This window comes from Homo sapiens, chromosome 5, assembly GCF_000001405.40.
Source record: "Homo sapiens chromosome 5, GRCh38.p14 Primary Assembly".
In the NCBI taxonomy this organism is placed as follows: Eukaryota; Metazoa; Chordata; class Mammalia; order Primates; family Hominidae; genus Homo; species Homo sapiens.
The window spans coordinates 37,333,046-37,349,245 of record NC_000005.10 but is presented as its reverse complement, the minus strand read 5'-3'; the positions used below and the strand labels follow the sequence as shown (position 1 = coordinate 37,349,245).

General features: G+C 43.2%; 1 protein-coding gene across 6 annotated transcripts in view; it reads left to right on the top strand.

Moving 5' to 3' along the window:
- Window positions 1-16,200, top strand: part of NUP155 (nucleoporin 155) — an 82,970-nt gene that overhangs the window by 21,861 nt on the left and 44,909 nt on the right. For all 6 annotated transcript variants that reach the window (NM_001278312.2, NM_153485.3, NM_004298.4 and 3 more), the window contains exons 8-13: window positions 1-74; window positions 650-741; window positions 6,600-6,697; window positions 8,004-8,156; window positions 11,328-11,428; window positions 15,613-15,783. In NM_001278312.2, coding sequence (NP_001265241.1) covers window positions 1-74; window positions 650-741; window positions 6,600-6,697; window positions 8,004-8,156; window positions 11,328-11,428; window positions 15,613-15,783 — 689 coding nt within the window. The remainder of the gene's footprint in view (window positions 75-649; window positions 742-6,599; window positions 6,698-8,003; window positions 8,157-11,327; window positions 11,429-15,612; window positions 15,784-16,200) is intronic.

Here is a 16,200-nt window from a genome sequence, read left to right as displayed (position 1 = left end):
ATCCTATTCTTCAAATTGCAATTGATAATTCTAGAAATATTTTATATACACGATCTGAGAAAGGAGTAATACAGGTTAGTATTAATATTATTATACCATTAAGAGTCAAATAAATCCTTATTTTTAAGGAAGACAATTCCCACCTCTTAAATTTTTCCTATGAACTGTGTAACTAAAAAAAAAAAAAGCCTGCTGGGCATGGTGGCTCAAGCCTGTAATCCCAGCACTTTGGGAGGCCAAGGTGGGCGGATCACCTGAGGTCTGGAGTTTGAGACCAGTCTAGCCAACATGATGAAACCCTGCCTCTACTAAAAATACAAAAATTAGCCAGGTGTGGTGGTATGTGCCTTTAATCCCAGCTACTTGGGAGGCTGAGGCAGGAGAATCATTTGAACCTGGGCGGCGGAGGTTGCAGTGAGCCGAGATCATGCCTTTGCCCTCCAGCCTGGGCAGTAGAGCAAGACTTCGTCTCAAAAAAAAAAAGCCCAACTCACTTCTCAGAAGGGTCCCCTTTCTATGAAATTTCGAATCTGAATGTTTTCATGTTTGTATTAAATACCAATATTAAAGGATCCCTTAAAAGAAAGAGTTTAATAATATGTGTATAGTATATAATCATGTTTAAGTGAGAATGATTTTGTATTCACAGGTGTATGATTTGGGACAAGATGGACAAGGAATGAGCAGAGTTGCCTCTGTGTCACAGAATGCCATTGTCTCTGCTGCTGGTAACATTGCTAGGTAACATGTAATTTATTATTAAGCATTTCATTTGCAGGCATAATTATACTATTTGTGTGTAGCCTTCTAAAAGTATATATTATTCCCTCATCAAAATGTCTCTAAAAGACAAGGAATGTTGAAGAGATGACACTCTACATTATGTTTGAAATGGAGCTGTTAGAGACTCCTTTATTTATTTATTTATTTATTTATTTTTTTGAGACAGGGTCTCACTCTGTCACCCAGGCTGGAGTGCAGTGACACAATCTTGGCTCACTGCAACCTCCACCTCCTGGGTTCAACTGATTCTCCTGCCACAGGCTCCCTAGTAGCTGAGATTACAGGTGCCTGCCACCATGCCTGGCTAATTTTTATATATATTTTTTTTGAGATGGAGTTTCGCTCTTGTTGCCCAGGCGGGAGTGCAGTGGTGCTATCTCTGCTCACCGCAACTTCTGCCTCGCGCGTTCAAGCGATTCTCCTGCCTCAGCCTCCCGAGTAGTTGGGATTACGGACATGCACCACCATGCCCAGCTAATTTTGTATTTTTAGTAGAGACAGGGTTTCACCATGTTGGCCAGGATGGTCTCGATCTCTTGACCTCGTGATCCGCCCGCCTCAACCTCCCAAAGTGCTGGGATTACAGGCATGAGCCACCATGCCCAGCCTAATTTTTGTATTTTTAGTAGAGATTGGGTTTCGCCATGTTGGCCAGGCTGGTCTCTAACTCCTGACCTCAGGTAATCTACCCACCACGCCTCCCAAAATGTGGAGATTATAGGCGTGAGCCACCGTGCCTGGCCAAGACTTTTTTTTTTTTTTTTTTGAGATGGAGTTTCACTCTTGTTGTCCAGGCTGGAGTGCAATGGTGCAGTCTCGGCTCACTGCAACCTCTGTCTCCCGGGTTCAAGTGATTCTCCTGCCGTAGCCTCCTGAGTAGCTGGGACTACAGGCATGCGCCATCACACCCAGCTAATTTTGTATTTTTAGTAGAGATGGGGTTTTCTCCATGTTGGTCAGGCTGGTCTCGAACTCCCGACCTCAGGTGATCCACCTGCCTTGGCCTCCCAAAGTGCTGGGATTACAGGCGTGAGCCACCGTGCCCAGCTTGAGACTCTTTTATTCTTATGTTTGATAGTTGGAAATATAAGGTAGACTGGTTTTACTACGTAAAGTACAGCTTGACGTGTTTTTCCTGGCAACTTTACATAGGGATCATGACTAGGAAACTGCATGTCTCAAAGTTTCCCCACTTTTAACTATTCACTCTTTCGGTTTTTTGTTTGCTTCTTTTTGAGATGGAGTCTCGCTCTGTTGCCCAGGCTGGAGTGCAGTGGCTCCATCTCAGCTTGCTGCAATCACCACCTCCTGGGCTTAAGCGATTCTCCCACCTAAGCCTCCCGAGCGGCTAGGACTACAGGCACATGCCACCACACCTGGCGAATTTTTCTATTTTTTATAGAGACAGGGCTTCACCGTGTTGCCCAGACTGGTCTTGAACTCCTGGACTCAAGCAATACACCCGCTCTGGCCTCCCAAAGTGCTGGGGTTACAGGCATGAGCCACTGCACCCGGCCACTACTCACTCTTTTAACAGACATGTGTGGTTCAAGCTTAGTTGGTCTGATTATTGACACAAGTACAGAACACAATATTTCAAAGTTGTAGTACCCATTTTATTCATGAGGAAACTGAAACTAAGGGATGATTTGCCTGAGATCTAACTCCTAAATAAGTACAAGAACCTAACGCGGAAGCCAAGTCTTCAGACAATCTGCATTACCATTTGCACATATCCCAACTACCTTGGTCAAGCTGCAAACGCTCTCTCTCTCTTTTTTTTTTGTTTCCGAGACAAAGTCTCACTCTTGTCCCCCAGGCTGGAGTGCAATGGCGCGACTTGGCTCCCTACAACCTCCACCTCCCGGGTTCAAGCGATTCTCCTGCCTTAGCCTCCTGAGTAGCTGGAATTACAGGCGCCTGTCACCACGCCTGGCTAATTTTTGTATTTTCAGTAGAGATGGGGCTTCACCATGTTGGCCAGGCTGGTCTCGACCTCCTGACCTGAGGTGATCTGCCTGCCTTGGCCTCCCGAAGTGCTGGGATTACAGGCGTGAGCCACTGCACCCCACCTGCAAACACTCTTTTTATAATGAAGGCCTCAAATTTTTCAACTTCTATTGTCATTGTGCCTAGATTATTGCTACAATCAGAGTGAAATAAATCAACTTTTTGTTTTTTTTTTCAGACAGGGTTTCACTCTGTTGCCCAGACTGGAGTGCAGTGTTGCAATTGTAGTCTGCTATAGCCTCAATTTCCTGGGCTGACGTGATCCTCATGCCTAAGCTTCCTGAGTAGCTATGACTATAGATGTGTGCCACCATGCCCACCTAATTTTATTTTTAGTAGACCTGGGGTCTTGCTATCTTGCTCAGCCTTTTTGTTTTGTTTTATTCTTCAGTGACAAGAAAAAAATTCTGAAGGCAGACACAATTGAAAACACATAATTTTCTGTTTTTCCCTCTAATTTTTTTCTGGAATTTTTTTCAAATCCACAAAAAAATTAAAAGAACAATGTGACAAAAACTAATACACTTTTTTTTTTTTTTTTTTTGAGATGGAATCTCACTCTGTCACGTCACCCAGGCTGGAGTGCAGTGTTGCAGTCTCAGCTCACTGCACCCTCTGCCTGCCGGGTTCAAGCAATGCTCCTGCCTCACCCTCCCAAGCAGCTGGGACTATAGGCGCGCACCACTGTGCCTGGCTAATTTTTTGTATTTTCAGTAGAGACAGGGTTTCACCATGCTGGCCAGGATGGTTACGAACTCCTGACCTTGTTATCTGCGCGCCTTGGCCTCCCAAAGTGTTGTGATTACAGGCATGAGCCACTGCACCCGGCAAAACTAATACACTCTTTATCTCAATTTTAACATTTTGCCTCTTTGTTGCCTGTCTTATGAGCCATTTGAAAGTACATTGTAGACATCATGACTTTTTTTTTTTTTTTTTTTTGAAATGGAGTCACACTCTGATACCCAGGCTGGAGTACAGTGGTGCGATCGTGGCTTACTGCAGCCTCCTCCTCCTCCCAGGCTCAAGGCATCCTCACATCTCAGCCTCTTGAGTAGCTGAGACCACAGACGTGCGCCACCACATCTGGCTAATTTTTTGTATTTTTGGTACAGACGGGGTTTCACCATTGTTGCCCAGGCTGGTCTTGAACTCCTGAGGTCAAGCAATCCGCATGTCTCAGCCTCTCAAAGTGCTGGGATTACAGGCATGAGCCACCGACATGCCTTTAGTCTGTTACATAACAATATACTTAGTCCATATTAAAATTGCCCAGTAGTCCCCAAAATCTTTTTTTTTTTAACTCTGCTGCCCAGGATTGAGTGCAGTGGTGCTTGACCTCCCTAGGCTCAGGTGATCCACCAACTTTAGCCTCCCAAGCAGCTGGGACCACAGGCACGGACACCTCCACCTGGCTAATTTTTGTATTTTTTGTAGAGAGGGGATCTCACCATGTTGCCCTGGCTGGTCTTGAACTCCTGGGCTCAAATGACGTGTCTGCCTCAGCCTCTCACAGTCCTGGGATTCTGGGATTACAGATGTGAACCACCGTGCCCCCAAAATCTTTTTTTTTTTTTTTTTGAGATGGAGTCTTGCTCTGTCACCCAGGCTGGAATGCAGTGGCACGATCTTGGCTCACTGCAACCTCCACCTCCCGGGTTCAAGCAGTTCTCCTGCCTCGGCCTCCCGGGTAGCTGGGACTACAGATGCACACCACCACACCTGGGTAATTTTTGTATTTTTAGTAGAGACGGGGTTTTACCATGTTGGCCAGCTTTTATGCCTCAGCCTCCCAAAGTGCTGGGATTACAGGCGTGAGCCACTGCGCCTGGCTTCGAAATCTTTTATAGTTGTTTTTCTTTCCATTTTTCTCCAGTTATATCAGAATTTATGAATTGGATTGGTTGTTAGTCTCTTTAATATAAAACAGCCCCCTGGCCACCTTTTTTTTTTTTTATAATATTGACGTTTGGAAGGAAGGGCAGGATAATTATACAAATTTCTGAATATATCTTTTTTTATAATTAGATTCTGAGTAATATATTTTATATATGATGTTTATATGTATTTTATATATGTATATTTTCTTTCTTTTTTTTTTTTTTTTCTTTGAGACAGAGTTTTGCTCTGTCACCCAGTCTGGAGTGCCATGGTGCTATCTTGGCTCACAGCAACCTCTGCCTCCGAGTTCCAGTGATTCTCGTGCCTCAGCCACCCAAGTAGCTGGGACTCTAGATGTGCGCCACTATTCTTGGCTAATTTTTATATATTTTTTAGTAGAGATGGGGTTTCACCATGTTGAGCAGGCTGGTCTCGAACTCCTGGCCTCAAGTGATCTGACTGCCTCAGCCTCTCAAAATGCTAGGATTTGAGGCATGAGCCACCTCACCAAGCAGTAATATATCTTTTAGCCAGTATTACATAGGCAGTGTGAAATGTCTTACTACATTATATCAAGAGACACATAATAGCAGTTTTCTCACTGTTGAAAGCTTCATTGAGGTGATTTTAACCAAATGTCTACATTATAAAGATCCATTTTCTCCCTTTTTTTTCCCCCTTGAGATAGAGTCTCAGTCTGTTGCCCAGGCTGGACTGCAGTGACGTGATCTCAGCTCACTGCAACCTCCACCTTGGGTTCAAGTGATTCTTCTGCTTCAGCCTCCCAAGTAGCTGGGATTACAGGCATGCGCTACCACCCCTGGCTAATTTTTTTGTATTTTTAGTAGAGACGGGGGTTCACCATGTTGACCAGGCCAGTCTTGAACTCTTGACCTCAGGTTATCTGCCCGTCTCGGCTTCCCAAAGTGCTGGAATTACAGGCGTGAGTCACTGCACCTGGCCTTTCTCCTTTTTTAATTAGCAGTAATGATACTTTGACACTGAGAACACTGCTCCCCACCAACCATTCACCCAATGGTTTTAGTCTTTTTTTGTGATCTTTGTTTGAAAATAGGGTTACTCTTAATAATATAAATGTAAAAAATACACATTCCAGAGTTTTTCCAGTTCTTGCTGCTCTTGTATTACTTTCCTAAGAAGCTAGTCTTAAATTATTTAGCATATTTAGAAAATATAAGGCTGGGAGCAGTGGCTCACACCTGTAATGCCAGCACTTTGGGAGGCCAAGGCAGGCGGATCATGAGGTCAGGAGATCGAGACCATCCTGGCTAACATAGTGAAACCCCGTCTCTACTAAAAATACAAAAAATTAGCCAGGTGTGGTGGCGGGTGCCTGTAGTCCCAGCTACTTGGGAGGCTGAGGCAGGAGAATGGCGTGAACCTGGCAGGTGGAGCTTGCAGTGAGTGGAGATGGCGCCACTGCACTCCAGCCTGGGCAACAGAGCAAGACTCCGTCTCAAAAAAAAGAAAAAAGAAAAAAAAAAGAAAATATGGAAATATGTGGTCGGGCACAGTGGCTCACGCCTGTAATCCCAATCCCAGCACTTTGGAAGGCCGAGGCGGGCGGATCACGCTCACGCGAGGTCAGGAGTTCAAGACCAGCCTGGCCAACACGATGAAACCCTGTCTCTACTAACAACACAAAAATTACCTGGGCGTGCTGGCGCGAGCCCGTAATCCCAGCTACTCAGGAGGCTGAGGCAGGAGAATTGCTTGAACCTGGGAGGCGGAGATTGCAGTGAGCCGAGATCACGCCACTCTCCTCCAGCCTGGGTGACAGAGTGAGACTACATCTCAAAAAAAAAAGGAAAATATGGAAATATGTAAACATTCTGATGGGAAATATTTCTTATAATTTAGCAGACACATTTTAAAAATACACTTTATTTTCTCCTTTCTTTTAGGACCATCGATCGTTCTGTTTTTAAACCAATTGTCCAAATAGCAGTGATTGAAAATTCTGAATCACTGGACTGTCAGTTATTGGCTGTCACACATGCAGGTATGTTGTTTTATTTACATATCTGCTATTACTGTTACAACTTCTGAAAATTCTTAGATTTGGAAATTTATTATTAGAAATATATTTTTCCTTCTATATCTGCCGTAAAGCCATATAAATAGTTTGTAAAATAAAGGATTTTGAAAACTGGGAGATTTTTCTAATTCTGTTTCTTCATTTTATAGATATAAAACCAAACCTAGGCCAGGCATGGTAGCTCACATTTGTAATCCTAGCGCTTTGGGAGATCAAGGCAGGCAGATTGCCTGAGCCCAGGAGTTCAAGACTAACCTGAGCAACATGGTGAAACCCTGTAACCCCGTCTCTACTAAAAATACAAAAATTAGCTAGGTGTGATGGCACGGCCTTGTAGTACCAGCTGCTTGGGAGGCTGTCATGGAAAGATCACTTGAGCCCAGGAGTTTGAGGCTACAGTGAGCTGAGATTATGCTACTACACTTCACCCTGGGCAATAGGGCAAGATCTTTTCTCAAAAAACCAGTAAAAAAGCAAAACAAAAGCCAAGCCTAAAAGGCGCAGTGGCTGACATTTTGTAACAAAGCCTGAATTGGAACACAAGATTTCTTGGTTTGTCTTTGCAAGTTCTTTCTAATGAAATGTATTGATTCACCTCTCAATTTCGAGTGACATTTTCTTAGATATATATTTTAGCAGATAGTCTATATGGTAATTTAAGATCAGTCAGGGGAGCCGGGTGCGGTGGCTCACACCTGTGATCCCAGCACTTTGGGAGGCCAAGGCGGGTGGATCCTGAGGTCAGGAGATCAAGACCATCCTGGCTAACACGGTGAAACCCCATCTCTACTAAAAACACAAAAAATTAGCCAGACATGGTGGCAGGCACCTGTAGTCCCAGCTACTCGGGAGGCTGAGGCAGGAGAATGGTGTGAACCTGGTAGGTGGAGCTTACAGTGAGCCAAGATCGCGCCACTACACTCCAGCCTGGGAGACAGAGCAAGATTCTGTCTCAAAAAAAAATAAAAATAAAAATAAAACAAATTAGACGGGTGTGGTGGCACATGCCTGTAGTCTCAGCTACCTGGGAGGCTAAGGCAGGAGAATCGCTTGAACCCGGGAGGCGGAGGTTGCAGTAAGCCGAGATGGCGCCACTGCACTCCAGCCTGGGCGACAGAGCTAGACTCCATCTCCAAAAATAAAAATTAGTCAGGAAAGTTATGTATGGTTTTAGCAGAGTGTTGCATTGCTGTATGTAATTGCTTCAATAACACATTTACCTCAGGTCCTTGTTTTCTATTACTGATGCATAATTTTACCCCATCTTCAGGTGTTAGGTTATATTTTAGCACTTGTCCATTCAGACAGCCATTAGCACGGCCTAATACACTGACGCTGGTTCATGTCCGCTTACCTCCTGGATTCTCAGCATCTTCAACCGTGGAAAAGCCTTCAAAAGTACATAGAGCTCTTTATAGTAAAGGTAAGTTCTGAAATACTATCAGATTTAAGATTATATTCTTAAAATTGTTAAAATTATATGGTGTTGTGAAGTATTTGAAAATACCCTATGGCAACAGTAGAAACTGGGAACTACTAGAAGGGTCAGGGAAGTAGGGGAGCAAGGGTTGAAAAACGGACTATTGGGTCTTATGCTCAGTACCTGAGTGATGGAATCAGTTGTACCCTAAACCTTAGCACCACGCAATATACGCAAGTAACAGATTTGCACATATACCTCCTGAATCTAAAATAAAATTTGAAATTGTAGTGAAATTCAAAAGTTGAAAGTGTAGTTTTCACTGCTACATTTAGGTTTTTGATCTGTTTTGTGATAATTTTTGTATGTTGTGTGAAGTAGGAATCTGACTTCATCCTTCTGCATGTGGTTATCTAGCTGTCTGAGCACCATTTGTTGAAAAGACTATTATATCCCCCATTGAATTGTCTTCATCTTACTGTCTGAAGTGAATTACCCGTTAATGTATGGAATCTGGATTCTCAGTTCTATTCTGTTGGTCTATATTATCCATCCTTATGTCAGTAGCACAGTCTTGATTACCGTTGCTTTGTAATAAGTTTTGAAATTGATAAGTGTGACTATTCCAACTTTGATCTTTTTTTTTTTTTGAGGTGGTCTGGCTCTGTTGCCGAGGCTGGAGTGCAGTAGCACAATCTCTGCTCACTGCAACCTCCGCTTCCCAGGCTCATGCTGTCCTCCCACTTCAGCCTCCTGAGTAGCTGAGAGAGACTACAGGTGTGTGCCACCACACCCGGCTAATTTTTGTACTTTTTGTAGAGATAGGCTTTTGCCATGTTGCCTAGGCTCGTCTCAAACTCCTGAGCTCAAGTGATCCGTCTGCATTGGCCTCCTAAAGTGCTGGGATTACAGGCATGAGCCACCGTGCACCTGGCCTGATTTTTTAAAAGATGATTTTGGCTCTTCTCAGTTTCTTGAATTTTCATATGAATTTTAGAATCACCTTGTTAATTTCTGCAAAAAAAGTGAGGTGGGGCCGGGTGCAGTGGCTCACGCCTGTAAGCCCAACACTTCGGGAGGCAAAGGCAGGTGGATCACTTGAGATCAGTTCAAGACCAGCCTGGCCAACATGGCGAAACCCTGTCTCTACTAAAAATACAAAAATTAGCCGGGTGTAGGGGGCATGTCTGTAGTCACAGCTTCTTGTGGGCTGAGGCAAGAGAATCGCTTGAACTGGGGAAGTGAAGGTTACAGTGAACCAAGATCCTACCGCTGCACTCTAGCATGGGGGACAGAGCAAGACTCCATCTCAAAACAAAAACAAAAACAAAAAACACACAAAAAAGTGAGGTTGGATTGTGATAGCTGAATCAGTATATCAATTTGGGGCATGTTGCCATCTTAACTATGTTAAGTCTTCAAATCCATGAATACAGAATATTTTTCCAAGTCATTTGAGGGTGGGGAGGAAGGTTCTCACTCTGTTGCCCAGGCTGGAGTGCAGTGGCAGGATCTTGGGTCACCATAGCTTCAACCTTCCAGGCTCAGGTGATCCTCCTTGCTCAACCTCCTGAGGAGTTGGGACTACAGGCATGTGCCACCACTCCTGGCTAATTTTTGTATTTTTTGTAGAGACGGGGTTTCACCATGTTTCCCAGGCTGGTCTTAAACTCCTGGGCTCAAGCAGTCCTACCACCTCTGCCTCCCAAAGCGCTAGGATTATAGGCGTGAGCCACCGTGTTGGCAAGTTTTGTTGAGATAATTGCCTTTTTTTTTTTTTTTTTTGAGACAGTGTCTACTGTCACCCAAGCAGGAGTGCAATATGCAGTCATGACTCATTACAGCCTCTACCTCCCCGGCTCAAGCAATCCTCCTGCCTCATGTTTTGTTGAAACAAGGTCTTACTTTATTGCCCAGGCTGGTCTCGAACTCCTGGGCTCAAGTGATCAGCCTGCCTCAGCCTCCGAAACTGCTGGGATTACATGCATAAGCCACAGCACCTGGCCCAGATAATTGCTTCTATAGTACACTTATCTCTGCCATTCCTCTAGCACCTTCATCATTTTTATTCATGGTGTGTTTGAATTAACCAGTATATAAACTGTATTTCATTGAATATTAGCTTGTATTACATTGTGAATTTGTCAGTCATGGCATTTTTATATACTAAGTATATTTTTATAAAATTAATAATTAAATTGATAAACCCATTGACTGCAAGATATGCCCTAAGTTCAGAAATGCTAAAATGTGAAAAAAAAATGTTTATCTGAGAGAAATACAGTTTAAAATTGAGAACACTTAAGGAGTCTACCTTAAAAATAATTATATAGTCTTTCAGGGAATTATTTTATTTTGTAACTTGTTTGTTTATAAAGATTGATGTTCGGTTGGGCGCAGTGGCTCACGCCTGTAATTCCAGTACTTTGGGAGGCCAAGTTGGGCGGATCACGAGGTCAGGAGATCGAGACCATCCTGGCTAACACGGTGAAACCTCGTCTCTACTAAAAATACAAAAAATTAGTCGGGCGTGGTGGCAGGTGCCGTAGTCCCAGCTACTCGGGAGGCTGAGGCAGGAGAATGACGTGAACCCAGGAGGCGGAGCTTGCAGTGAGCCGAGATCGCGCCACTGCACTCCAGCCTGGGTGACAGCGAGACTCCGTCTCAAAAAAAAAAAAAAAAGATTGATGTTGTGTGTGTATATTTATATATGCTAGTTTTAAGTTGGCATAAAAGTACGTGTGGTTTTGTAAAATTTTTTTTTTTTTTTTTTTTGAGACGGAATCTTGCTCTGGCGCCCAGGCTGGAGTGCAGTGGCACAATCTCAGCTTACTGCAACCTCCACCTCCTGCGTTCACGCCATTCTCCTGCCTCAGCCTCCTGAGTAGCTGGGATTACAGGTGCCTGCCGCCATGCCCAGCTAATTTTTGTATTTTAGTAGAAACAGGGTTTCACCATGTTGATTAGGCTGGTCTTGGACTCCTGACCTCGTGATCCACCCACCTCATCCTCCAAAAGTGCTGGGATTACAGGCATGAGCCACCGTGCCCAGCCCGGTTTTATAATTTTAATTGCAAAACCGCAATTGCTTTTGCACTAACCTAATAATTATTAAGGTTATTGAGGATGCATATTTGACATGATGTAATAATATTTTGTATATTAAACTTTTAGGTATTCTATTGATGGCAGCCTCAGAAAATGAGGATAATGATATTTTATGGTGTGTCAACCATGATACTTTTCCTTTCCAAAAGCCAATGATGGAAACCCAGGTAAGTTATCCTGACAATTCTGAAAAAACTATTATATAATTTTAAGTGAAGGATAATATGGAAGAAACTTTTATCTTCTGATGTATTGCTGTTTGCTTCTAATAACGTATTATTAGAAATTATAAAGTAAAGAAATTATCCTGTCAATTATTTGTTTTCCTCTGTCAGGGTAGAAGTTACTGTGGTAATCACAAAAAAAATCTTTAAAGAAAACATTGGACCCTTACGGAATATTTTCCATAATGTACTAGAAAATACATACATCTTTTTTGAAGTTGTCTTTTTTTTTCTGAAAACATGTCAGGTTCATATGAAATGATCTTTACCTCATTTAAATATGTTGCTCGTTTAGTTATTTAAATATGAGGCCATCTATTACAGTTGTGACTTAGATTTTATTCTAACAATCTCTTTGTAATTTTGTCTGTTTTTTTTTTAATTATGGAAACTTTCAAACATAAAGTTTGAAGAGTCAATTGAACCTCACGTAAGAGAATTGAGTTGCCAACATCTTTCTTATTGTATTTCATTTTTCTTTCCCACATAAACAAAGAGACACCCACAAACACACAGTTTTGATTTAAACACAAAAATCACCACATACATCATGAAGTGGATATGGTCTTCCTGGGTGAGGACCGAGGCTGCTATGAACCCACGAACTGCCCCTGCCCCCAGCTGCCCATCCTAGTCCCCAGTGTATAAGGAGGTGAGGGGAGGCTACCTGTCTCCATCCCCTTGGTGTCCTCTGCTCACTCCTGCCTGTCCTCCTGAATAGTCCTGCATAGCCCACAGAGGCTGCTGATCAAACCAGATAAACCAGCCCCTAGTGGGGTGTGAATGTCTGGTACTCTGTCTTTAGAGCTACCTCTTCACAGGCATTTTGCTTCTAGTTTTCACTGAAAACTAGTGGTTCTTTGGTGGTTCTTAAATTTGAACCCTTCCAGATGGGACTGGAAAAAGGTGTGTGTAAGTGGGAGGAGTAAAAACTGAACTCCCAGGGATGGGAGTATTGTCTGCCTGAGCTCTACCAAATTTCTGACAAGGTTCAAAGAGCTGGGGTAGGAGCAGGAGGAAGATAAGGAGGTAAGGAGTGCCTTCTTTCCTTTATTCTTTGTACTACCAGCCTAGTGCTGTGATAAACTATGAGGATTCAGAACTTAATAAGATATAAACCCTGTCCTGGTTGGGATGCTGTGTTGGGGGAGTGGAGGACATGCTTTTGGCTCTCTGTTTCTTCCTCTATAATAGTTATAATCGTACCTACTACGATGGAGTTGTGAGACTAAATGAGCTCATGTGTGTAAAGCACTCAGAACAATGCCTGGCACTCATAGGAAGCACCATTCCATAAATGTTAACTTTTTTTTTTTCTTTACTCTTTTAAAAGACAGCATCTCACCCTGTTGCCCAGGCCCAAGCAGTCCTCCCACCTCAGCCTCCCAAGTGGCTGGGACTACAGGTGTGCATTACCACGTACAGCCGATTTTTAAATTTTTTGTAGCGACAGGGTCTGACTATATTGCCCAGACTAGTCTTGAACTCCTGGGCTCAAGCGATCCTCCCACCTTGGCTTCCCAAACTGCTGGGATTACAGGTGTGAGACACTGTCCTCCACCTAACTTTTTTTTTAGAACAAATGCTGCATGTCATATAATTTGATTTAATATTTGAGTTTTTCTCAAACAAAGGTGGACTTTTGTTTTTAACAAAAAAACTCATCAAGTATAGTGTATGAGCTTTGATCAAATCCTAGTTATCAAAAATAGTCATAAAAGACATTAGAACAGCTGGGTAAATTTTATATTGGTTAGGTGTTAAATTATATTAGGGAATTGATAACTTTTTTTTTTGAGACAAGGTTTCACTCTGTTGCCCAGGCTGGAGTACAGTGGCACAATCAGAGCTCACTGCAACTGCCTCCCAGGCTCAGGGGATCCTCCTACCTCAGCACCCGCCACCCCCTCCCCGCCATGTAGCTGGGACTACAGGCACATGCCACCACTCTTGTCTAATTTTTTTGTATTTTTAGTAGAGACAGGGTTTTGCCATGTAGCCCCTGCTGGTCTCGAATTCCTAAGCTTAAGGGATCCACCTGCCTTGGTCTCCCAATGTGTTGGGATTACAGGTGTAAGCCGTGTCGTCCAGCCAATAACATTTTTAAATGTTATTATATGGTTTGTAAGAAAACATTCTTATTTTTAGGAGATATGTGCAAAAGTATTTAAGAGTGATAAATGATGTCTATACTTTCAAATAGTACAATAAAACAAATATACAGAAAGAGAGAGAATGCAGATATGGCGAACTGCTAACAATTGTTGAGTCTAGGTATTGGGCATGTGGACTTTTACTGTATATTCAACATTTTTGGCTGCTTGAATTTTTTTATTATAAAGTATTTTAGAAGATTAAAATACTTTTTTTTTTTTTTTTTCTGAGACAGGGTTTTGCTCTGTTGCCTGGAGTGGAGTGCAGTGGCATAGATAGCTCACTATAGCCTCAAACTCCTGGGTTCAAGCAATCCTCCTACCTCAGCCTTCTGAGTTGCTGGGAATACAGGCACACGCCACCACACCGAGGTGGTTTTTTATTTTTTGTAGAGATGGGACTTCATTATATTGCCTAGGCTGGTAAAATACTTTTTTTTTTTTTTTTTTGTGACAGAGTCTTGTTCTGTCGTCCAGGCTGGAGTGCAGTGGCACAATCTCGGCTCACTGCAACCTCCATCTCCCGGGCTCAAGCAGTTCTCCTGCCTCAGCATCCAGAGTAGCTGGGATTACAGGCGTGTGCCACCACACCCGGCTAATTTTTCTATTTTTAGTAGAGACAGGGTTTCACCACATTGGCCTGGCTGGTCTCGAACTCCTGACCTCGGGTACCGCCCGCCTCCACCTCCCAAAGTGCTGGGATTATAGGCGTGAGCCACCTCGCCGAGCCAGTAAAATACTTTTTAAAGGAAAGATAGTATCTTAGCAGATTTAGTTGATCCTGGAAAGATGGTAGAAGGTAGTTACTTGGTTAAGAGAATTATAATTTTATTAAAGAGTATTTATAGTTTATCTTGAGAAAAGTTTGCCCTTGTCCTCTAGTACAAAAAGATTTATGTATTAGTATAGAAAATGCCTGCTTATGGCTGGGCATGGTGGCTCACGCCTGTAATCCTAGCACTTTGGAAAGAGGCCAAGGCAGGCAGATCACCTGAGGTCAGGAGTTTGAGACCAGCCTGGCCAACATGGCAAAAGCCAGTCTCTAATAACAATACAAAAATTAGCCGGGTATGGTGGTGTGCGTCTCTAATCCCAGATACTCGGAAGGCTGAGGCAGGAGAATTGCATGAACCTGGGAAGCAGACGTTACAGTGGGCTCTGATTAGGCCACTGCACTCCAGCCTTGGCAACAGGGTGAGACTCTGCCTCAGAAAAAAAAAAAAGGTAATGCCTGATTAGCACTTTGAGAGGCCAAGATGGGCAGACTGCATGAGCCCAGGAGTTCGAGAACATCCTGGGCAACATGGTAAAACCCTGTTCATACAAAACATAGAAAAATTAGGCGGCCGTGGTAGCATTCTCCTGTAGTCCCAGCTACTTGGGAGGTTGAGGTGGGAGAATCAACTGAACCCAGGGAGGTCGAGGTTGCAGTGAGTTGTGATCGTGCCAGCGCACTCCAGCTTAGGTGACAGAGTAAGATGCTGTCTCAAAAAAAAAAAACCCCAGAGGCCAGGTGTGGTGGCTCATGCCTGTAATCCCAGCGCTTTGGGAGGCCGAGGTGGGCGGATCACCTGAGGTCGAGAGTTCAAGACCAGCCTGACCAACATGGAGAAACCCCGTCCCCACTAAAAATAAAAAATTAGCTGGGCGTGGTGACATATGGCTGTAATCCCAGCTACTAGGGAGGCTGAGGCAGGAGAATCACTTGAACCCGGGAGGCAAAGGTTACAGTGAGCCAAGATCACTCCACTACACTCCAGCCTAGACAACTTCGTCTCAAAAAAAAAACAAAAAACAAAAACCCAGAAAATACCTGATTTAAAAAAAAGATAGTAGAAAATTACATAATACTTTCAAAAATATTCATGTTAATGTACTATTTATTAAATTTACTTCTTTATTAAGTCTGTAGTTTTTTCTTTTGCATTATGTAACTTCAATATGATGTATAAAACATTTATTTCTTTTACATAGATGACAGCTGGTGTTGATGGTCATTCCTGGGCTCTTTCTGCGATAGATGAATTGAAAGTAGATAAAATAATTACACCTTTAAACAAGGATCATATTCCAATAACTGATTCACCAGTTGTTGTACAGCAGCACATGTTACCTCCGAAGAAATTTGTTCTCCTCTCAGCACAGGTGTGTACGTATTCTGTTATGGTAGTGACAAAAATAAGCGATGTATAATATTTTTGTCAAGTTCTCTGAAGTAGTGGCTTAATTGAATAATTTTCTTTCTTTTTTTTTTGAGACGGAGTCTCGCTCATCACCCAGGCTGGAGTGCAGTGGTGTGATCTCAGCTCACTGCAACCTCTGCCTCCCCAGATCAAGCAATTCTCCTGCCACAGCCTCCTGAGTAGCTGGGATTACAGGCGCACACCACCACACCTGGCTAATTTTTGTATTTTTAGTAGAGATGGGGTTTCACCATGTTGGCCAGGCTGGTCTTGAACTCCTGATCTCAGGTGGTCCGCCTGCCTCGGCCTCCCAAAGTTCTGGGATTACAGGTGTGAGCCATTGCACCCAGCCTTCCTGGTTTCTTATTTGACTTTGTTT